We start from the raw sequence: 25,422 nt of genomic DNA, 5'->3' as shown, positions 1-25,422 counted from the left end.
ACAACACAGCAGCATGATCCAGGTCTCTTTATACCACATCATTATACAGAGTAAGAGAGTTAAATTAGCTCTTGGGAAAGGTTGTGCATGTACACTGTTGTGAGAACTATTTCTGATAGAGATGGAAAAGAATGCATAAGCCAGATCAATGGCTGCACTCCATGTACTAGAGGCTGTTAATCTGCTGTAGCACCTGGCACAGTAGATGCAATGAGGGCTAGTGCTTGGTTGAGTTTGTGGTAGTTTACAGTTATCCTTCAGGATCTACCTGATTTTTCAGGGCCCAGACTGATAAATTGAATGGAAATTAGGTGGCAACACCACCCCTAAGTCCTTTAGGTCTTTAAGGGTGGCACAAACATCTTCCAGTTTCCTCAAGATGTAATTGTTTTTGTTTTACTTTCTTGGCTGGCCAAGAAACTAATGCTAAGGTTGTGCCAGCTACCAAAAAAGTCTTCTCCAATTGGAGTACCCATTGGGAGAGCCTGTGGATTGGGAGAGACAGTGGACTGTCTGTGAGCTGGACTTTTTTTTTTTTCAAACCGGGTCTCCACTCTAATAGAGGGTGGTGACTGATGCTTTGAGTTCTTAGGTATAAATGTCAGCATGGACGCTGGATCCAACAGTCTTCAAAATATTTGAAATTACCCTGTCCCCAGTATATGGTTGCCTGAGTAAATGGCTATAGGTCCCTTTTGAACTGGGGAATCATTACCATGTGTACTTGCCATGGTGTTGCAGAGCCTTCCTCCTGGGGACCCAGCTTCTCCTTCAGTCAGTCAGTTCTGGGTCTCAAAACTGGCTTAGGTACAGAAACTGGGCAAGGGATTGGCCTTCTTATGTGCCCACAGCCTCCTGATCATCCATCTCTGATTTCTTTTGATTATGTGAATTGAGCAGTACCCTTGTTGCCATCCCATCTATATTTCCCTTAGGAATGCTACGTTCTATTAATCGTCTCCATAGCTCTCTGTGAGTCAGACCCTCCAGGCTGCCGTTCCAATCTTGAGTGTTCACCTTACTTCTGGTGGCTATGTTCCTCTACCTGGTCTCCATTATTTTAGGATTTTATTATCCAGTCTGCTATCAAGGGGCTCAGTTTTATAATGGAATTTATTACTGTCAGCCCTGGCCAACAGAAGACAGCCACCACTGAGCTTCTCAGTGATGCTGGTGTCCCTGTAGCTGATGCATTTCTTATTGTTTTGGTAAACAGTGTCCTCTGGGCCTTGCAGCAGGCCAAAGCTAGCTGGCGGATTTTCTGGTCTTACTTAGTATATGTATGCTAGTATACCCATTTTTCTAAGCCCTTTGATCCCTCTTCTACCATCTGCCATGGCAATTGGAGCATTCTTTACTAGACTTTGTTTTCTCTAAACTTCAAAGGATCATCTCAGTAGTGTGCTAATATGAATTTCCAGGGTCTTTGCCAGGATGTATAATCCTAATGAGGGCTTCAAAATAAGTAACTTTTCATTTATCCAACTTCATGTTCTACCTCCTTTGATCCAGCACTCTCAGCATCCAAGCCCATATGTACTTTCTTGCCTCCTATTGGTACATGTTGTCTAGATTCTGCAGCTCTTTGCGGATATTGTCTCTGTCTGCTCAGCAGGCCCAGCTCAACATAAACTATGTTTTGTTGTGACTTAATACTAGATAATGGTTGAATAACCAGGGAGACAGGTTGGGGGAATGTTCTGAGGGGATCCATGCTGTCTTGCAAGATAGGGGCCTCTATATCATCTTCAAGCACAGGGGAAATGCTAGATTTTTACAGGGAGGAGTGGGTTACTTCTGGAAGTCCAGAGAGTTCAGGAGTACCTGGTGACTCATGATTTCCAAAGATATGGTATTCCATATTTCAGGGTCTCATTTCTTCCCAATCAGAATCTTGGCCTTGGCATAGTGACTCGGAGGAACCAATAATTCAACTCTGCTACTTATAAAGTTCAGTTTCTCATCCTCAGCTTTTTGTCCCTTGACTGAAGGAGATGAGACTCTTTATATGCTGCATTGAGGTGCTCTGACTTTGATAATTAGCTTTCAATTGCTGATTAATCACCCTCAGCCTTTCATTATCTTTCTCCAAAAGCACTGATTGCCCCAAGAAATAGCCTTCACTATCCTTACACTTGCCATCTCTCCCATATTTCTCAAGTGCAGGAGACATTACACCTACCAGTCATTTTCTTCCAATGGATTACAATTTCAGTTCTCCAGTGGTGGCAACTTTAACAGTAGTACCACTGACACATGTCAGGGGCTATTTGTGCTCCATCTACCATAAGTGATCAACACCAACTGGTCAGTTGGCAATTTGGCTCCATAATCCCATTTAAGAACCTTCTTTCTTGTCCCATGAGAATAATGTCTATGACAGAGTGAGGAAGCAGGAGTGGGCAGTCAGTTTGGGTTCAGGGGCTGGGATGGTCTATGCATGAGGGGGGCACAGTTGGCTCCACAATGAGGCTTGGACTTTGCACCCATGCATAGATTAGTCATTGGATGTAGGTTGCTCCTGGGGTGGGAGCATGACCTTGGGTGAGGTGGTATCTAGGTGATGTACTACAGTGTTCACTATGACAGCCTTTCATTTTCTACACAGTGTCCTTCTCTACCTTCCTCCTCTTAACAATTAGGATGGGTACAAGAATAAAGCAGATGACTAATAAGTTGCCGTGTTGACTCCCCTTTGAAAACTATCCTGAAAAGTTAAAAATATGCCAGTCTAAGTTGTTTCCTTGTAATGTAAATACCCTAAGTGCTTACAGGCAATTGGATCTGCCAATCGATTTTATAGGCTTTGCAAATGTGAGGTGCTAAAAAAACTATTTGTTGCATAATTAAATGAACAAATAACCAAGTGCCTACTGTATATCTGTGGTAAATCATTCCTTTAACCACAATGATTGGTTAAGAGCTGAAATTAGATTCAGAAATCACCCAAGTGAAGTTATATGATCTTTAACTCTTCCTTGGGTAGAATGGAAACAGAAAGAGAACTGCATTCAGACTCATTAGGCCTGGATACATGTTTTGACCGTGTTATTCATTATTCACAGGCTGTGGGAACTTGGGCAAATTACTTAACTTCCATGAGCTTTAGTCCCTTTATCTATATATTTAATATAATACCTGTCCTGTTTTCCTTACAGTGTTCTTATGAGAATTAACGTGAAATATTAGTAGCTAAAACATTAAAAGCTACAGAACATTATAACTTATGAGTGTTTATTATTATTATTACTACTACTAATATTGGTAATTCCCTTGCCTGTTGTGAGAAGCAGGAATGAGTCAGGGAACACAGAAATGGCCAAAATTTAAAGAAGGAGAATAGGAAGCTTGCACAAATAACTTCAAACTATGAATTATAAAAAATTAGCATGCAAATGGATGTTCCTAGCAGATGGTTTTGGGGCCATTTGTTATGTCTTAGGTTTTTTAGTGGGAGTAACATAAAAGAATGACTAAATATTTGATTATTCAATTAAACATGTATTTGTAATATTCATCTTTGTATTAAATTGAATCTCTTGCAGCATTTTCTTTTATGTCTTCTTTATCATTCACAACTTCTGTTTCTCCCATGCATCATATAATGAGGCTCATTGTCAAAAGGGTGTTTATCTGGTGTTGATTTTTATCAATCTCCGTTAATTGTTCAGAGATGAGTGCTCCATGAATGTGTTATGTTACATTATTTCTTTAAACCATACCATTAAGATTATGGATTTGGGTATCAATGAACATAAATAACTTCATTGAAGGAACTGTTTTATATCCTCACACAAAGACCTTATGTTATGCAATAGCAAGTAATAATAAAAGTCATTGTTTCAAAAATACATTTTTTGACCCTGAAGCATGAATGGTTTTTGATTGGTCAGTATTCCACATGTTCTCTTGTGAAGGTTCAAATCCAACTTGTATAAACTGCTACTTGTGTGATGGAACTATAAATAAAATAATATATATTTAATATATTATGTATACATATAATGTATACACTATATACTGCATGCCAAACCATTGATATGCAGTATATGTATACATAGTCACATATACATAAAGATATATATATATTTAAATAAATTATTCATTGCTGTGTGTCTGGATTACCAAAGGTAGAATTCTAGAGTCACCTTTTTCATCCTTGCCCTTGTTTTCCTGTCTTGTTTTGAGACACAGAAATCAGGTAGGAGAACAGAGCAGTTCAGTTTGTGTTACAAGTTGACAAACTTGCTTCAGCCACCAGAATACATTAGCAACATGTCTATTTTCTTGATTTGATTTCCATCAACCTAAAACATTCCCTGAAAAAGAAATGTGTTCAACCGGGCACGGTGGCTCACGCCTGTAATCCCAGCACTTTGGGAGGCCGAGGTGGATGGATCACAAGGTCAGGAGATCGAGACCATCCTGGCTAACATGGTGAAACCCTGTCTCTACTAAAAAATACAAAAAATTTGCTGGGCGTGGTGGCACGCACCTTTAGTCCCAGCTACTCGGGAGACTGAGGCAGGAGAATGGTGTGAACCCCAGAGACGGAGCTTGCAGTGAGCCGAGATTGCGCCACTGCACTCCAGCCTGGGCGACAGAGCGAGACTCCGTCTCAAAAAAAAACAAACAAAAAAAAGTGTTCAGCGCAACTCAGGTTCATCACCTACCATGGATGCAATCAGGATGGGCTAGTTAAAAACAGGAAATAAATGTTCCTATCCCTGGGATCTCAAAGCCTAGTAAATGACTAATAAATAACTACAAAAGAAGGCAGGCAGAAGGCAGTCCTCCTCAGAGCCTCAGGAGGGGTTTCAACTAGTTGATGGAATCAGGTAGAAGAAGATATTAATTTATACTGTGTGGGGTAGGGGTGAGGCGTGGGAAAACATCTTGTGGTAGAGTTTAGGATAAACCTAGACGGGCATCCTTAACCATTATTGTGTCTAATAAACTGTTCTCAAAATAATGTTTGGAATGTATAAAATAAAAGAGAAAGGATTATAATTGAAACCAATTGTATCAAAATAGCTCTTGAAATATAAAAAAAATTGTGATATAATAATAAGTACACTTCTTTATTAAGGCATTAAATAAAAAATTTCATTTGCAGGTGTAATAACTATTGTAATTTTAAAGTAGTAATGAGCGTAAATAATAATTCAAGATATCTGTAATGACTATAATGTGATATGGATATATCTGTGATTTCTATTTGTGACAAAGTCTTATGTACTTCTAATATTTTCAATGTTTGTTGCCTAGATTCACAATAAAAGGAAATACTACAGTTCAGTTAGGAGTTAGCGAAAATGGAAATGTAATTTTTCTCCCATTTAAATCACAAATCTCTTAATTTTACCTCTGGACCCTTGGGGGTCTATGGAGTACAGGTTAAGAACCACTAGACTAGAGGATGAATAGGACATTGATAGGGAAATGGAGAAGAAGTGTGAGAGGGGTTCTACCAGTATAGAACAACGTTGTTGGGGATGGGGCAGCAAAGGGCGTGTTTGAGGAGTAGAGAGGTATGTCTAGAGGGTGTGTGAATGGAGTGTGCACTGTGGGGCAGTATGAAAAAATGATGGATGCATAGGAAAAGGAGACATCATGGGGCTCTCTCAGAGGCCTTTGCATGCCAGAAGGAGGAATTGCACCAGTGAAGAGCCATCAGTGTTGTCTTTGAGCAGGAAACCGACATAAATATGTTGTTGTTTTAGGAAAGTTATTTGCAGCATAATGGGAGTTGTGTTGAAAAGGCTTGAAGCGGGAAGCCTCTTAGCAGCTTATTACATTGGTCAGGAGAAATATATTGAGAACTTGAACTAATTCAGTAGAAGTGGGAAAGAGAAGAGGTAAGCAAAAGACCGTTGATAGGCAGACTGAAAGGATTTGGCAACAGGAGAATAGGGTGGGGGATGCAAAAGTAGGGAGAAAAGCTGATTCTAAGTGCTTAACTTGTCATACAGGGATGATGGTGAAGCAATGAACCAATACAGAGAACACAGCAAGAAGGGTAAATTTGTGACAGAGGAGTAATAAATTCTTTTTGGGTATATTGAAAGTTGAGGCATTCATGAACTTTTCATGTGGAAATGTTCAGCAGGCAGTGAAAGTGAATCTAGAATCTGGACAAAAGTTCAAGAATGGAAATGCAGATTTGGTAATCATAATGAGAACAGCTGAAATCAAGGGAGTGAAAGAAATTGCCAAAGAAGGGCAAAGGTGCTGAAGACTGAATGTTGTTTGACTTCTCGGCTGTGCAAAATGTTTCAAGAACTGCTTGGCAATTTTGCACATTTAGTCCTTGTTTCTTTAGTTGCATGAAGTGAATAATGTGCCTATTATGTTTCTGATACTCTGCTTTTTCAAAGATCAATAAGATATTGGCCTGCTTTCAAGGAATTAATATTTTGAATAGAGAAGCTGACATATGAACAAATAAATATAATTAAACACAATAATAGAATTAGGTACAAGTAGAGAATGATACAGAGAAGGGCAGGATTAACTTCAACTGGGGTGGGAGTAAGGAAGGCTTCCTAGAGAAGGTGACCACTGATTTGGGTTTTGAGAGTTGAATAGTAGTTTGCCAAGTGGGAAAGGTGTTTTAATTAGTGGGGATGAACTGTGCAAAAGACTGGTATATCCAGTGAACTGCTTTCCTTCTGTTGTTTCTTGTGACTAATCCCCAACTTGTGTTATACAAGATTTAAATGTTTGCAAGATCTGAAATCCTTTCTCTCTGTGAGTAGCGCCTCTCCTCATCTTAATGTTAAACAAGACCCCTCAAATTTGGCCATGAAACTATTTTGTTCTTGATCTAATCTTTTAAGTTGAAGTTTAACTTCATTTTTTCTGGTTTTGTTCTTTCAAAAACGAAGATAATTCTGTAATCATCCTCTGTTGAAAATAAAGGTCTACAAAGTGTCCGGTAAGTACAACATTAAAAATAATGGCATGTTTAATGGAACATAATTTATCCAAAGTTCTCTGTTTGCTAGCCCTTTTTTTGCCTCTGGATTATGTTCATAATAATATGTATTCTTTCATGGAAATTAAGGCTTGTTGGGGCTTATGTTTTCAACTGCAGCATGTCAGCATTGTTCATGTTATGTCCCAGCTGGTTGAAATTAGCTTCATAGTAGAGCCATTATGAAGTTTTCGTTAAATAGATATATAATTTTTAAATATGAAAAATCTCAATGTCATGAAAATTAATTTTTAAAATTTTTCCTACTTTATATCTTTATGGTATTGTATCAAGACAGGATTTTCTCCTCCACCTTTTTTTTGGGGGGCCAGGGTTCTAACTGTACTCTCTGGAGTTCTGGCACATACCTATCAAGGATGACAGAAAAGATTCTTTGGAAAAATAAAGAAATCAGAACAACTCTGTAAGCATATCAATAGAGTCTGCTTGAATATGCAATCAGACAAAAGAAATATTTGTCTTTTACATACTTAATTTTGAGTTGGATGAGGAATGATCATTTTCCTTTATTTTCTCAGTGGATGAGGAATGATCATTTTCCTTTATTTTCTCAGTTACCCTGGAGCTGTACAAGTCACACACAGCTCCATTGGAGAGAAAACTGGATGGAACCATTTGACTGAAAATCCATGTCAAAAGGCCAACAAGAAAGAGCTGAGACACTGCAGAAAGAGCAGGAATAAATAAGAGGTGAAGACAGACAGAGACCAGACAAGGAGGACTCAATTACAGACTGACAGAAGACTCAAGGAAGAAAATGAAGGTTTGTAACTTCTAGACTTCTTGTATAGGCTTGTCTATCTAAAAAGATACATAAATCATATATATTAGCATATATCAGGCATTTATCTGTTCAGTGGAGACCAATTCACAAAAATGCCAATACTCCATGCTTACAAGGTTCTGAAGAGTAGAATAAATATCTATTTAGGGAAAAAATTCTATTGCATTTTGTGCTGTCTTATACATATTATAGAGCTTGGGGGAAGTGGAAACAACCTTCTTCTGGAAACCTTCTTTTTACAAATGCAAGGATGGCCTGGAAATGGACCTAAGGTCCTTATGGAGCCACTTTGTCTAAAATGCTAAAGAAGTGGCTCTCACATTGATCCACATAACTAGAACCAGCTGAAGTCTGGTTTAGCCTATTATGGCCTTCTGACTTGAATTAATTGATCAAATAATTAAACATTTATTAAATTATGCAGCATCCTCTATGTCCCATGTCCTGTGTAGGGGCTTAGGAAACAAGGATGAGGATAAACACCCTTTCCTTGAGAGGCTGAGGAGCATTAAATGTGAAAAAACACCTGCAGAAAAATAAAAATAAAAAAACTATCGTTCCACCCACTGCAAAAAAGAAGAAAAAAGGCTATCAAGTGATTGTTTTGGAGTTGATACATTATTGGTGATTGAATTTTTATGAGTGTGATGTGTAGCTACAAAAGGCCCAGATACGTAAAAAAAAAATTCCAATATGAATCTTCCTGAGGCCTAGACTTGGCTTATATCTTCTCTCTGGTTCCTAAATTTTATTTAACAACTTTTTCTCAGCCTGTTGAATTTCCCACATGAAGACCCCTTCAATCCACAGTTCAGGCTGTCAGGAGTCTAATCTTCCTGGAAGACAGTGACAGCCACAAATTCAGGTTGAATCTTTTATTCCCCCCTACACAGACCAATGCCACTGGAAAGAACTATATTTACCTTAACTCATTGGCAGGGATAGTAGTGAATGTATGTACTCTTTGGACCTTTATTTCCAGGCCCAGAATTGGACTCTCTATATCCAGTTACTCCTCTTTCTAATCTGTTCCTTCCACTCCCATGGTCTTCTTAAAGCATAGATCTGATTGGGTAATTCATAGGGAAATGATCTAGTCCTTAGCTTGGTCTCTGTGCTCTCTACCATTTATCTCTATCCTATCTTTACAGCTTCATCTTCTAGTCCAGTGGCTACTATGGGATACTTGTGTTTTCTAGAAATACTGAACTGAACGCTTTCATGATCTTTGCATTTGCTGTTTCTGTTCCCTTCACTTTTTTTTTTTTTTTTTTTGAGACTGGGTCTCACTATGTCATGCAGGCTGCAGTGCAGTGGTATTATCATAGCTCACTGTAACCTCAACTCTTGAGCTCAAGCTATCAGCCTTCCAAGTAACTAGGATTACAAGGCATGTGATACCATGCCCGGTTAATTAAAAAAAATTTTTTTTTTTTTTTGTGGAGATGATAGGGGTCTCACTATGTTGCTCAGTCTGGCTCAAACTCCTGGCCTCAAGCAATTCTCCTGTCTCAGCCTCCCAAAGTGTTGAGATTATAGGTGTGAGCTACTGTGCCTGGCTTTTTCTTCCTAGACAATTAAATATCTCAGGCTGTTAAAATCCTGCTCATCTTTGAAAACCTGATTTAAATATCACAAATACTCTAGAAGAGCCTTCAGAGTGTCCTTTCTTGGTATTAATAATTTTTGTCTCTGGGCTTTCACAGAACTTTACTAATATCTCCTATAGCACTAAGGTTATAGGCATTAAACTAAATGGTATAAATCACAGTATATGGCATAATGAAAGAGTTAAATAAATATTAGCTATTAGTTTTACTTACCACATTGTGCCTAAGATAAAATTTCTATATACGTGTAAGTAATGTATCAGTAAGTCCTCCACTGATCTGTAAGTTCTTTAAGAATAAGAGAAGATAATAACTTACCCCTTTTAGTGCCTAAAATCTTAGATTTGTGCTTTCTACCTTGAAGAAGCACAAAAAGCACTTGTCGAAACACTGGTTGAATGAATCTGTTACTAGAATTTAGAGAAAGAAATATAGAACAGAGCAGCTTTTCACCCTGATATGTGCTAAGGCATTCTGTTGGGCTTCATATACTTTACCTCATTCAATCCCCACAACTACCCTGTGAAACATATATTGATCTTGCTCTATGAGGAAATTGAGACTCAAGGAATTTAAATAATATACCACAAGTAAGCAACTAGAAAGAATCAAAGCCAGAATTCAAAGCTATTGCATTTCTGACTCCAACTCCTAGGCTCTTGCTCCCATAATATTTTGACACTAAGTGACATCATGTTGTCCCCAAGGGAGCTAGTATGTGGACACCACAATGACTCCTAGCAAATATTACTAATACAGTTCTCAGAGATATTTCAAACCGTTTAAAAAAGTCATCATTTCTTCTTCTTCTTCTTTTTTTTTTTTGAGATGGAGTCTCACTCTTTCGCCCACTAGAGTGCAGTGGTGCCATCTCCTCTCTGCAACCTCCGCCTCCCGGGTTCAAGCGATTCTCCTGCCTCAGCCTCCCGAGTAGCTGGGATTACAGGCATGTGCCACCATGCCTGGCTAATTTTTTTTTTTTTTTTTTTTTTTTTTTGTATTTTTAGTAGAGACAGGGTTTCACCACGTTGGCTAGGCTGGTCTCGAACTGCTGACCTCAGGTGATCCGACTACCTTGGCCTCCCAAAGTGCTGGGATTATAGGCGTGAGCCACCACACCCAGCAAAAAAGTCATCATTTCAATTCAAAGTTAGATTTCTAGTTTGTTTTCGTTTTTTTCCCAAAGGTGTCTCCAGCCCCTTCAAGTTATGCCTTTGGGATGGACCATAAAACCGCATTACAATTGTAAGTTCGCATGGGAGTAAATAAAACTTTTACACAGTAATATGAATGAGTGTGTTGTCAAGAGGATCCTAGGTGTGTATAAATCCTTTAATTACAATTTCTAGTGCTAATGTTTATCCTTTAATTAGAGGTGTGTAGTAGGCTTCTTTGTTGGGGCAGAGGAGGAAACTGGAACCATATGGTTGCTGCCTCATTTTCATCTGAGCCCTTCCAGGGATTGTAAACCTTAAAATGGCATTGGAACCCAGCACTTTCGAATCTGCTAAGAAAGGTGGGAACAGTAAGTCTTTGTGCAAAGGCTGAATATACATAAGGGAAGTGTAGCCCTAAACCTGTTTGCTCCCACATGTCTTTGCCCCGTTTTGCTTTGACTAATTATATAATCTGCAACATAATAGAACCAAGTGATTTTACCTGTCTTGCTGATTACATGGTTTGGAGTAGCCTTTTGGTATGAGGCAGCTTTTAATTTGCTTTAGATTTGTAACTATAAACAATAGGACTTCCCTGAGAGAGAAAACTATTGAGAAGACCAGAAAGAGAGAGGGGCAGAAAGAAGAGGATTTGATCTTGGTAAGGTAAAAACAGCTTAAGCTCTGGGTAGGAATTTTCATTTGCTACTTACCGACTCTGTGCTTGGCAAGGTTCAAACCTCTCCGAAATTCAGTTTCATCATCTACAAAATGGGGATAATGACCCCTTCCTTGCCAGGCAATAATGAGATTTAGAGATAATGTGTATGAAGTGCCTGGCATCTTGGAAGCCCATGAAAAATGTCTGATATAGTTATTACAGGTTTTTTTTTTTATTGAAAGGGCTCATCTTTCAGGACTGTAAGCAGTCCTGAAAAGAACCAGGATTCAGGACAAATATGATTACTGCTGATGATAACTTTCTTGGTGCCTTTTTCTTATTTCCTTGCCCTTTTCATGTCCCTTGTTTTCCTCTGATTAAATTAATGTTCCAAACTCACCCTTATCAGCATCTTTTTTTTTTTTTTATACTTGTAGAATAGTCAAAATAAACTGGAGGGGTTGATCAGACCAAATAATTACAAACAGCCTTTGTTTAGAGGTCAAAAATTGCCTCTTCCCTTTGCCCTGACTACTTTCCTCCTTCTGGTCTTTTCTCTCCCTACATGTCAGTAATAAAATGTATTGTTAGACAGATCAACTGATGCATCACCTTGACACTTTGGTGAGTGAAGACATAGATTTGGATAATAGACATAGCTGAAATGTTTTCCTGGGGGTGTCCAGTTCTCTTATTTACACAACAACTGTTATCCCAGAAAACAACTGGTATATACCTCCTCCAAACTAGTACAGTTCTTACAGAAGTGGACTAAGGAAGTATTTTCCTAAGGGATTCATTAGATTTTGATTAACCTCCAATACATTTGTTCTAAACAACATGGAGGATTTCCCTCAAGCCAGGCTGGGGTTGCCAGCTGTGACAGAGATGGACATTTAATTTGTTTGTGGTTGGGTTGTCAAGGCTGGACATTTGTCATTTGAGATTTCTACTTTACTCCTTTCCCCCAAATGTGCTTCTAACAAGAGAAATCTTTAAAATGAAGCAGATTAAAAATCGATGATGTAGAGTGTGTACTGGATTGGTTTCTATTTTATTTTACTTAGGGAAATCATAATTTTGGGGCCAGTGATTAAAATTCCTGGCTATGTACGGGCAAAGCTCACACCGCTCACAAAACACCCCAGTAATCTCATCCCATTTCTTAGGGAAGATTTAATAGCAGGCCTGTTCAGTGAGGCACATACAAGTTCATTACCTTTATAAAACACTCTACAGGAATTTTACTAGTGTCCAAGGCAGTGCTGTTAATGGTTTCCATCCACACATTTCTATAAAAGAACAAAAGACAGCTTGTGTTAACCTTAATTTCTTGGTCTTTTTTGCTTCCTTGATAATTTTCTAAATTCAAACATTTATACGGAATCTTCCAATCATTTGTATTAGTTAGCAACCTGCTACTATTGCAATATTTCACTGTCCTTGTGGTAAGAGTTGTTGTAAGACTGTATTGTCTAAACTGGAGCGGCTGCCTCGTACTTAGCTTCATGTCACATTTCAGCTGAGACACAGGAACAGTTTCTGACTTATGCTGCTGCATAGGAGGGTAAACTGAAGTTTATGTTACTCAAATATAATTTCTCAAGGCCAAATTGGGCAGCAGCAATGCTGGGTGTTTGTTTTAGTGTTTTCTCTGGCCTTCAGTTTAGGTCTTTGGTAATCGCATGTCAGATATCAAGTGAAGTATTGCAGTTGAAATTTTCATATACTTTTCAGAAATTAGACTATGTCTTAATGATCTTTTAAATTTGTGATTTTGGGCTGGGCACTGTGGCTCACGCCAGAACTTTGGGAGGCCGAGGCGGGCGGATCACGAGGTCAGGAGATTGAGACCATCCTGGCTAACATGATGAAACCCCGTCTCCACTAAAAAATACAAAAAAAAATTAGCCAGGCATGGTGGCAGGCGCCTGTAGTCCCAGCTACTCGGGAGGCTGAGGCAGGAGAATGGCGTGAACCCGGGAGGCGGAGCTTGCAGTGAGCCGAGATCGCACCACTGTACTCCAGCCTGGGCGATAGAGCGAGACTCTGTCTCAAAATAAATAAATAAATAAATTAATTAATAAATAAAACATATAAATAAATAAATTTGTGATTTTGAAACCCTTTTGGTGGACCCAATGTGCTCTGGGACTTAAAATTGTTATTCCCTTTCATTCCCTGCTGCCATGGCTTCTGTCTGCTTTGGTTCTGAGCTCTGTGTTGAGACATTTTAAATTGTAATACTTCTTTTTTAATTTCGGTTCTCAGATTAGGTTGGTCTAGTTAGGATGAAGGTATTATATTAAATAAATACAATTTTGATCTTGTTTTTTTGGCTAAGTCTGTGTGAATACTCATGTAGAATATAAATGACCAGTATTTGACTCCATCACCAACCGAGTTGCCCACAGGGTCCATTCGATTTGCACTATGTGCTCTAGGGTCTAAAGAATCCAGTTTGGTTCCAGTTCCAGTCTTCAAGAAGAGGGAAGATTGACCAAGTTAGCAGAAGTGTGAGAAATTATGAGCATGCATCACAAAAAACATCCGTTGACACACTAAAATGAGCACATGAGGTTATTACAGTGACACCTTGTGCATTTGTTTCTTCACAAGCCATTGCTGCTAATGATGTGGTAGAAGGAGCACTGTACCTGGAGAAGGAATATTCTAGCTGTGGCTTTTTCATTAACTTGCTGTGTGAACTTATACAAGTCATTTAATTTTTTAAAAACTGAGGTTAGATATCTGTCAATGAGCAAGTTTTACTGGGTGATTTCAAACGTTCTTTCTAGCTCTAAAAAAAATCCTATGATTCTCATAAAGTTTTATTTGATTGTGACATTTCATTTGGCACCTAATTCTGTACAGATGTCTTAACTCGGAGTATTTTGGTTCTTATAGATTTAATACATGGAATTTATCATTCTATTAATGTACCTTGGAGTGAAAAGCATGTCTGTGTATACAGCTGCTCTCACATTTATAATATGTATTATATCTTTTTAATGTACATCATGAGAAATGCCAGTGGACCTAAATGAAATATTACTATTGTTGCATTCATTTTTATGAACTCTGTCAGGCTAAATGAATTAAATAAGGAACAACATGTGCTACAAAAACTACATTTACCATATACTCAGGTGTCTGTGTACTGCATAAACACAGATATCGAATATGTTTTGGGTTTTCTTTACCAAGAGCCAGAAAGTTTCTAACTTAAAGATAAATTGAAAATCAAATGGACGTTTTGATTTTTAAACATGAGGCTGAGCTATTGTTACAGCACCTATTGTCTTTGGCAGACAGCACAGCTGGGGACTTTGTAGTTCCTTTTGTCCTATACCTGGTGATTGAGCAGGTGAGAGGGAGGTGAGTTGGATGTGAGAGGCACAGATTATAAGAATATGAATAACGGTGGGAATGATGAACTGAGGATCAAGAAACCTGTGGGGACTCCTGAGGGTAGACATACTAGGGATCTTTGATCTCCAGCTCTGTATATATTTCAGAACACTTTATATCTTCCTTCTCTCTGTCCTTTTTTCTGCCAGCTGTCTGGACAACTTCTCATCTTACTTCTCTATAAAGGCATTACGATCTTTTTTGGAAATCTCACTTTAGCCTGAATGTTTCCAGATTTGAATAGTAAATTCGCCCCGGGAACAGTTCTACCTTGACATTTTTGCACATGAAGAATATAAAAGGATTTGGGAGGCAAGGGCTGGAGAATAGGACATGGGCTTCCAATTTGGGAGGAGATACTTAAAGTTCAGGTTAGCAGTTCTTGCTGTAGGCTGTCATTTAAAAAAATGACTTAGGGATGTCGGAATGTTTTTGTTTTGTTTTGCTTTTTAACTTTTTAAAAAATTGCAAAATAATCTACATAGAATAAAGTGCACAAATCTTAAGTGTACAGCTCTGTGATTATACACACACACATGTATACACGCACATTGATATGGTTAGGCTTTGTGTTCCCACCCAAATTTCATCTTGAATTGTAATTCCCATAATCCCCCTAATCCCCAGGTGTCAAGGAAGAGACCAGGTGGAGGTAATTGAATCATGGGGGGCCATCTTCCCCATGCTGTTCTCATGATAGTGAGTGAGTTTTTGATGGTTTTATAGGGTGCTTTTGCCTCTTTGCTCAGCACTTTTCCTTCCTGCCACCTTGTGAAGAAGCTACCTTGCTTCTCCTTCACCTTCTGCCATGAAGGCCTCATGTTTCCTGAGGCCTCCTCAGCCATGCTGAACTGTCAGTCAGTTAAAGCTCTTTCCTTTATAAATTACCTAGTCTTGGGTAGTTCTTTATAGCAGTATAAAAATGGACTGATACACACATACTCCTTGGAATGACTAATAGATTAAGATTTAGAATACCCTTAGCACCCCAGACGGCTACTTTGTGACCTTTCCCAGGATATAAACTCATCAATTTGTATTTATTAATGTGTTGCAACATGTTTAGAAGGTTTATTGTTGTTTAATTCATGGACTTTGCCATGAAAAATATACCCTAATAGTGTTATTTTAAGAAACAAACCCCAAGGATCAGAAAACTTATTTGGATAACATTGTAAGCGTGGAGCACTATTTCCAAGGGAAGCTTACCATGTTCCATAGGCATCTTTTTATTGAGGGTCATTGCAAGACACAGTAGAATTCCAGCAGTCTCATTTACAATCACACTTATCCTCAATAGCCATATTTATGGCTTCCTGTGTAATGAGGTGATTTATCATGGTATGTCAGCCATAGAGAGTTCAGTATAAATGAATTTGGTTTCTTAAAAAAAGTTATTATATCTAAACACTTTTACAATAATCTGACATTGCTCTTTAAAGGTAAGCACATATTCTGTGATTTGCATATGAAGAAACCATGCATTACTCTTACTTGACTGACTGTCAGCTTCAGCAGCTGTACCTGGTAGTGCCCAGGTCTGTCATTGTTTCCATGATAGAGCTCATTTTTCAAGGGTTAATAACATAGACCTTAAAATTCACTTTGGGTTGAAACTTGGCAACCACTGTGAGTTTATAGCCTTAGGAGCTGATTTTAAACAAAAATGGTTTAAATTGATTTACCCTTTTCAAATTACAGTATGTCAAAATAATACTTTGCATCAGTTCTAATGCTTTACATTTATTTAATGTTAAAATTTGTAAGCTATTATTCCTGGGTGATGATTTGGGGGATGAGAGCTATGGGGCAAGTTAAATGAACATTGGTTTCCATTGAGAGTTCCAAAATAAATTTGCCAACTTTGATTATTTTTCTTTGGTAATATCATTGCTATTCTAAAAGAAGAAATGCTATTGCTCTCACCTTTATTAGAAGAGAGCAGTTGTGGCTGTGAATGCAATTTGAAAAGAATGATAGAAATAAAACGTTGAAAGTCATATTTAGTTGTGTAACATCCTGATCTCACAAAGGATTTCTCTCAACTCAGCACCTCTGAGTGGTATTTGAACTAAGTTAAGCTGGGGTGTGTGTAGTTGTTCATGGTCTTAAGCTTTTCAGTTTTGAAAACTCCACTTAGAAAGAAGAGGATATTTGTATTTCCACCGTAGCACACATTTTTGTTACTTCTTTGAAATGTACATTTTTATTTTATGTACATTTATTTAAAATATGAACACTTCCAGCCTATTTACTGAGTCAACAAAAGTTAAAACCCCACATTCATTTTTCTCACTTTAAAATTACTTAGATGTCAGCATATTCGTATATTTAATGTACGGCCACATACTAAAGAAAAAAATGCTGCTGGGCTATATCTATACTGAAGCCATCTTCTCAATGAGAGAAGAGCTGGACTAATGAGGACATCATACTGTCAATTTTTAAACTTTGATCAATTTTTGACTGAGAATGATACAGACAGAAATTTGGAGAAAAAGTTCTCACATATATTAGACACAATGAGACTAGGACATCATGTGTCAAAAGCTGCAACTTTGTTCTTGTATCGAACAAAGACAAGGCTGAAGAATAAGAAAAGCTATAAAGTAGTTCGTATTATAGAGCATTCTGTAATAAATTACAGACAGGAGGATGAAGAAATATAGTCTAGATGTAGCAAAGGTACAGAAGGAATAGGATTAGCATTGGAACCAGGCAGTTTTGGGTTAGAATTCTTTTATCACTTATTAGGTCACCTGGGCAACCTTGACACACTAATTTTCCTTGATGATTTTCAGTAAGGTGTGAATAGTGACTGACTTCCAGTGTTTTCATAATAATTAAAATAATGTATGTAAAGTATTTGTCACCTAGCCATTGCTCAGTAAAAGGTGAGTGTTATGATGGTGTAATTGTAAGGATTTAAACAGTGAACTTACATCTAAGACCATACCACCGTGAATGTGCCTGATCTTGTCTAAAAAGTGAACTTACAAGGCATAAAAAGTTTCTGTTGGTTATATTACCTTCTCTTGAGGGATCTCAGAGTGCACTTATATCGAAAGTCTTCTTGGTAGCAGATTTTTCAAAAATCTTCATAATTTCTCTATATGAAACTCACACTCAGGACAAGGACACTTCACCAAAAGTGGCCTATGAAGTGGTTAAGGGGGATAATGCTTCTCAAAGAGGTACCTATGATATCTATACACATGGTGTCTGACCAACCAATCTGATGCTGTCTTAGGGAAAGTTTAAATTCTGGTCATACATAAAATTATAAGGCAGGTAGGAGGTAAAACAGAAAGACATACAGAGAGAAGACAATAAACATCCATGAGCTAGAAAAGAGCATAGAGAAAAGCCATAGTATGGTGATAGTAAATAAATCAATTGTGCCCAAACCAGTAAAGCAGAACCACTATGAACAGTTGGACTACCGTAATGGTAGAACAATTGAGCCATGAATAGCTACTTCTGGAGGGGAAACTGTGAGTGGCCATGGAGTGCTCCCCACTGCTCCTGCCCTACTAGAGTTACTGTTGTATATAGAATGATATTCCAGTGCTCCCTTAGGTCTGGCTCTGTGTTGCTTTTGTGTGATTTCCTGTCTCTTATTTCCCCAGTTATGTTACAATAAACTGCTTTAACTGAGGCAATTTGAGTATGTAATCCATAAAAGGCCAACAAATACACACAGTTTGACTTGTAGATCAAAGTCAAACTAGAGAAAGGACCCCACATATCTTCCCTTGAGTCCATGTGAAGTCATGGATGTGTGAAGCAGAGTGGTATTTGTGAGAAATTTTGAAGTGTTTCTAGATCATACGACATGAGTCGGGGAGAAGTGAGAGATGAAGCTGGAGAGATCAGTAGGGGGAGAGAGCTCTTTAAGGCAAAGTATGAAACGTGAAGGAGCTTGGAAAATTGTGGAGAGAAGCAACTAAAGGGTTTCTAAGAAGGGGAATGGTATGGTTAGGCCTTTAGGTATATCAGCCTGGTGGTTTTGCAGAAGATCGTTTGAGGGCAGCAAGACCAAATAAAGGCAGACAGATACAGAGGCTGTTAAAGAGACTAGCTTCTGATTACCAGGGCTTTCACTAAGGGAGAAGCAGTAGGGATGGAGAAGAGAGTATGATATTCGATAACATTTTAATTGACTAAGTCAGAAATGCTTGGTTAATGTAGAGAATGAAGTAGGCAGTCAAGGGTGATTCCTAAGTTTCTGGTTTGAGCGTCTCAGGGGATAGAGGTGATATTAATTTAGAAAGAGGATATAGCAAGAAGAGATGAGTTTGGGAGAAGATGATAAATGCCACTTTGGACATGCTAAGTTTATGATGTCTACGGGACACTTGGGTAGAGTTGTTTAGTGGACAGTTATATATATGAACAGAAAAATCAGGAGAGAAGTCAGTGTTGGAGGTAAAGGACACATCCACTTTTATGTGGTATTTAGAATCACAAGGATTAAAGAAGTTTTATGAGGGTAAAGGAGGAATAGCATTTAGAAGGTGAAGAAACACCACTGAAGGGGTAGGTAGAGGAAGAGGAGTTGATATCAAAAGGAGAGAAGAAATAGTGAGTGGATTGGAGAAAATCAGGAAAGGATGGTTGAATTGAAGTCTAGGTATACTAGAGTTTCATTAAGGAGGAGATAATTATTAACAGAATTCAGTGTAGCTAGTGAAATACAGAAAGATGACTACTGAAATAAGGTCAATTCCAGTAGAAAGGAAGGTACAGAGGATACTGCAATGGAGCTGTGAATGAAAATGATGGATGCTGATGTTTTGAAAAGTTTAGCTGGAGATATGGTGGGGTGGGGAGAGAAGCTAGACCATGATTCGGGGCAGATATGTGGCTAAGGGAGATATGGAATCGAGGGAGAATTTTTTTCAATGATGGGAGTAGCTTGAAGATGTTTATATGCTGAAAAGGAGACAGTAGGAGAGAGAGAGAGAGAGAGAGAGACAGAGAGGCTGGCTTAAGATGTATGTGAGAGAGGTTCACCTGATTAAATGATGCTCCTAGAGGAAGAAGATGGGTCTTAAACAAAGGAAAACTCACCTTTTTCTCTGAGACTGGAAGAAAAGTGTCAATGTGTGTGGCCATAGATACACGTGTAGGTTGTGGTGGGTACAATGAGATAGAAAGCTGGATGATGGGATCACACCAATGAATTCAATTTTCCCGATGAAGAGGGAAGCAGTATCAACGGCTATGAATGAGAGGGGCAGGGTTGAGCCTCTGTGGGGACTGAAGAAAGTCTGGAACTACCAGTTACTTTCAGGAGTAGAAGAGGATGCTGATTATAAGCAGTTAAAATGCTCTTAGAGCCAGAGGGAAGAGAAATTCAGACACTGTGATTGTATAGTTAGGCCCTTCTACAAGGTTATATGATTTTTTTTTTCCCATGCAGTACTCAGCTGCCTATAATTAGGCTTATATTTTAAAACTGCACTCAAGTTTTTCATGTGTGGTCATTCAAATAAGAATTTTTGTCTTTGGTTTATTTTAAATGCAATTTTGAAATGAAAGTCAGGGGACCTTCACACCGAGATGGTAGCATTTGGGCTGGGCACTGTGGAGGGATTCTTAATCCTATTTCATATTTAGTTAGGCTTTTCACCTCATGCCATAGTCTCTTGTGGAGAACATATATTTAGCTTTTAAATAAAGTGCATTCAAATTTGGGGAGGAGATTTTAAGGAATTTATTATCATTTCTTGGGGCACCTTGGGTTATCCAAGAACCAATATCTTTGCTGCGGCTATTGCCACTTGCTTCCTGACAGAAAATATATTTGAGCATTAGCTCAAGCAAAAACAGCTAAAACAAGTGGATTTATGGTCTTTAACACTTGGATGCAACTGATTTGCTAGTTGCATCATCCTCATTATCAGTGTTAACTCCCCAAAAAAGAGAAGTAGTTTTATATACAATAAAAGCTTATCTGAAGCTTTGCGCCCAGCTCCAGCTGAATGCCAAATTTGAGTTTGAAAATGCTAGCAGAAATCTTTTCTTACAATAATTTATCACTTTTATTTTCTCTTTTGCTCCTCCAACTTCTAGCTGGACCTGTGAAGAACTGTCGAAACAGCTGTAGAGGAATTGTGGTGGAGGCAGTAATGGCTCCTTTAGTAGCAGAGAATAGAAAGATCTCGAAAATAAAGCCTATTGTCAGGAGACTTGCACCCATCCTGGCCTACTTCCAAGTGTAAGTGAGGTAACATTTAATTTCTGAAGTGGAGATTTGAACCAAATTGTTAAGCTCTCAAAGTTTAACCAACAAGAGGTGATGATGATGTTTTAAAAAAATTAAATAAAAATGTCTGGGTTTTGGTAATAATTATAACACAACACTTAACTCTTCTTAAATTTCTTGTCTTTCATTAAATTTTGCCTTAAATTACCACTCAAATTTTTCATGTGTGACCATTTGGAAGTAGAATTCTTTCTTTGGTGTTAGTGTGCTATAAAATTTTCGTAGTTGCACACATTGCTTTTAGATATTCAGTTTGTTTGATCTGAAAAGTTTACCAAATAATTTGCCTCTAGATTTTGATTAGCTGAAGACTTATCTACATTAGCTTTACAAATAAAGTGGCCAAAGTGTATTGATTATCAGATTGTAAGGAGTTATCTATTGCACAAGGGCCAGACCAAAACAGATAAATGGCTTGTCATATAAACATTTACGAGCCAATGGAATGACAGTCCTCATTTGAAAGCAACTAGTATAAATTTGGCCTATACCACAGTGGGTGTGAAAATTGCAAGGTAAAATAAAACAGATGAGACCATTTAAGTTTGAAATGGAAGAACAGATCACTGGCAACAGCTATTTACTTTCACAGTCACTAAAATAGGGTGTTTTGTTGTGAAAACTATCAATACAGGGTGATGGATACCCTGCTTAAAGTGCCAATATGATGCCATTCTGAACTGTAAAACGATTTCATTACAAGTGTATGGGGAACCTTTAAACATGACATTACGATGCGACTATAATGTAAGATAACAATGGAAAAACAATTTCAGAGTAAGTGTAAGGAGACTATAACCATGCAGTTAGAAGGCCACTGGAATGTGAGATTATAATAGCTCAATATTAAAATGCTGAAAAGGATATGGCCAATTGCTTTTTTTTTTTAAACTGGGAATAGCCTAGACAACATTTATACTCATGAATAGTAAAGTCATAGAATGTATTTTAGGGAGGAGGGAAGTTCAGCACCAGTATATCCAGCTCTTATCCCCATTCTGAAGTGTATTCCCATTTTTTTTTCCATTTCTTGAGGTTAAGTTGGAGACAGTTTTTTGTTCGACCTTATCACTCTCCTTCAACCATACCACTTTGAAGCTCTGTTGCAAGTTCAAAAACATTTTCTTTCTGACTCACATCTAGCCCTATGACTTGGCTGCATTAGCCACCTATGGGATATAATTTGAGTTCAACTAGGATGATTTTCTACTGCTCATTTTATCTTCCTGGCTTCCAGTTATCACTGGACCTCAGCTGAAATCTTGCCATTAGAAATATATTTCTTTGAGTCTAAAATGATTTTTAAAAATTCTTTGAGAGTACATAATAAATTTAAAATTTAACAACACTTATCAATGTATAAAATATAAGTACCTGTTAGAGGGGTAACATACTAAACTTGAACAGTCTAAGAAGCACAGAATTTGTCATCAGACAGACCTGAATTCATATTTCAGCTCTTCTACTTAGTTATGTATAAATATGGGCAGGTCCATACTTTTCTAAGTCTTGAGTTCCTTATCTGCAAAATGGGGCTAATACCAGCACTTAATTCTTAGGGTAATTGTAATATGAAATAGATACCACGTATGAATGCCCGGCACAGTGCCCAGCCAATGTGAGGGGCCTGATAAAAATTCTCTCCTTACAAATATAGAAAGAGATAAGGGATTGGGTCAAGACGCTAGAGAGTGGAGTAAAGGAGAGAGAACAGAGCACAGTCACAATGGCAATGTGATTAGGGAGAAGGTTTCTCCCTAAACTCGACTTACAATTTATTTTCGAGCCACTCCAATTCAATTCTAATTAAGCAGCCTCTTAGTCTTGATTATCTAAGGTATGCTTGAGTTTTCTTATCTCTTCCTGTTCTTCTGCATCTTTGGATTATTGTGTTTGTCCACAAGTACTGCCACCTTTAGTACTGCTCTATCTATGATAGTGGGACATTCTGTCCTTGGGAGATGACTTGTGGCCACTGTCTGAGCTGTTCCTCACTGGGCCTCTCTCCTTTAGGCTTCTATCATGCACGGTGCTACCTTAAATAATCTCATCTTGGATCACAACCTGAGGTAGTGATTTTCCAGCTCCTGAGGTTATACAAAAGTGTAAACAGGAATTTTATTATACCACTGAACCAGTTTTAAATCTATTCATCCATATCATACTTAAAGGACCAATTCACTAATAAGATCAAACAAGTTTTGTGAGCATAGAATGCAACATTTTCTCCCCAGATATTTTCTTCTGGTAAGAGTCTTGATTTTAGCTGCGTTATTAGTTTTTGTCTAAAGCCCTCATAGCATTATCAAGCATTCTCATGAAGGAGTTACCTGACTCTAAAAATATATTCTTGTATTACTCGGGTTTAGTGACCCCATTCAGCATATGATTGGTTAATTTCCTTAAAAGTTTTTCTATAGGGATAAGTCACCAAAGAAATAACTCACTCAGAGTGCAAGGCCCCTGTTGAACATACTTTATGGCTCTAGGCACTAGCAGTGCCAGTAATTGAAGGTGATTCATAAATGATTTTTGGAGTAAACTTCATGTAGACTACAAACCAATCCAAATTATTCAAGGCAGTATAATCTGGGTGATGTGGAATGCAATGCTGTAACACAACTACTTTGCCTTCAGCCCATAATGAGCACCAACTATGTGAAAGATGTGAAGACAATCATTTTCTCACGTGGAGATTAGATTGGGGAAGAAACATATTTGTTGTGTGTCTCCTGTATGCTAGACTTCGTATGCCTTACTTCATTCACTTACTCTTAAAAACAACCCCAAGAGTCGTTTTGTCATTTTGTCATAAATATGCATTATCATCCATATTTTATAAAGAATGAAAACTAACAGAGGTTGAGAGACCTGTCTGAGGTTATATATGTGGAGTGTTGAAGCTAGGATTTGAACATGACTGTCCGGTTACAAATCCTCTGCTATTTACACTCTATCACATTGCTGCCCCTTGTGTGAATTCAATTACAATCCACTAGAGGAAAAAATAAAAGAACATAAAGGACTGGATGGCAAAGTAATCTGTGATAAGTGCCATGTGAGTAGAATGAAAAGTACCAAAGGGTTTGAAGGAGAAAAAGATTACTTCGGCCTGGGTTCTGTCTTCACTGTGGCATTTATCTTTTTTTTTTTTTTCTATCTGCTCTTTGGGGATGCTGCTTTCCCTCACTGGTGTGCTTCTCTGTCTACCAAGCAATGGTCAACACTGACTTCTTAAACTGCCTAAGCCAGTAATTATTGCCTAAAATAAAAAACCGAGTCCCTAGACTGCTTGTTATGTTCCAGATCTCTTCTATTCTCATTTTTCCCCAGAAATGTTTCCCCTGGATGACTCTTATATCTCCACGATGTGTTAAAAGTATACATGTACCCTAGAATTTAAAGTATAATAATAAAAATAAATAAATTTAAAAAAAGTAAAAGAAAAAGAAACAAGTGTACTTACTCTTTAAGGCCCAAGTCAAATGTACTTTCTGGGAACTCTTCCCCCAGCAGAATTAGCGACAATTTGTCTCTTGTCTCTCAGCGCATTGGCTATACAACTATTTGATACGTGTTACCTATTGTTTAGCATGGTGGAGTCATGCTAAGCATCAGGTCAAGTTATGTTTTGTTTTGGGATTTGGACATTTAATGGCACATCTGTCATATTAGTGAGGTGGACCTGATAAGAGTCCATTTAGCTGAGTGATCGAGAAGTGTCTTTTGGGGGCAGGGATGATACTAGGTAACAAGAGAATCCGAAACACATCCTTTGTCTAAAAACCATCATCCTTATGGTAAGAAGGTGGAGTTTCTTTGAAGAGTTCAGCCTTCCTCCTGCCAACATGCAGTTGTGTCGGGGGCAAAAGGTGGTGTGATGTGAAAGAGGATATAACTAAAACATCTGAAAACTATTTTCATATAAACTATGAGATTTTGGGGACAAGAAAATAGCATTGCTAGAAACTGACAGAGTAACGTTGTATGAACATGGTATCATTCTTATGGCATAATACGGCAAGTGCATTGGGACTGTGGAGGTCACAGCCTGGTTTTAGGTCGTCACAGGCTTCAGCACAGTATCTCTGTACCTGAAGTCTGTAGATTTCTGGGGAGGGGTTAGGCTGCATGGCAAAAGGTCCACAATTCCATAAGCACCTGATATATTGTCAATGGGCAAAACAGTGTTTCCTGAATGAATGCACTACTTCCTTTCAAATATATGTAGAGATTCTTACGATGAATAAATATGTTTATTGAAAGGATTACTGAATTTGCTGTCATATGTGTCATTAAGTATTTTTTTAATTAACAGACACTAAAACGTACCTATTTTTGTACAAATGTGGTGAATATGAAACCTTTTAAGGTTAAAAAGGTGTTTCCATACTCACAGAGGATTATTGGTGAGGGGTGGAGTTAGTGACATCTGGTGGTGGCAGCTCCTACTGATTAGCTCCATGAATACTAGCTCTTCTTTACCATCTAACACACAAACATTGGTGACTGGCATTTAGTAAGTCAATTT

The 25,422-nt window shown here is 38.0% G+C and overlaps 1 long non-coding RNA gene across 1 annotated transcript in view; it reads left to right on the top strand.

Annotated features, from left to right (window-relative positions):
* Window positions 1–25,422, top strand: part of PKN2-AS1 (PKN2 antisense RNA 1) — a 147,692-nt gene that overhangs the window by 107,458 nt on the left and 14,812 nt on the right. Inside the window, exons 2-3 of the long non-coding RNA NR_110682.1 lie at window positions 7,552–7,760; window positions 20,699–20,843. This is a non-coding gene — a long non-coding RNA (PKN2 antisense RNA 1). The remainder of the gene's footprint in view (window positions 1–7,551; window positions 7,761–20,698; window positions 20,844–25,422) is intronic.

This window comes from Homo sapiens, chromosome 1 (genome assembly GCF_000001405.40).
Source record: "Homo sapiens chromosome 1, GRCh38.p14 Primary Assembly".
NCBI lineage: Eukaryota > Metazoa > Chordata > Mammalia > Primates > Hominidae > Homo > Homo sapiens.
The sequence above is the reverse complement of the archived record's forward strand: the minus strand, read 5'-3'. Positions and strand labels throughout refer to the sequence as shown.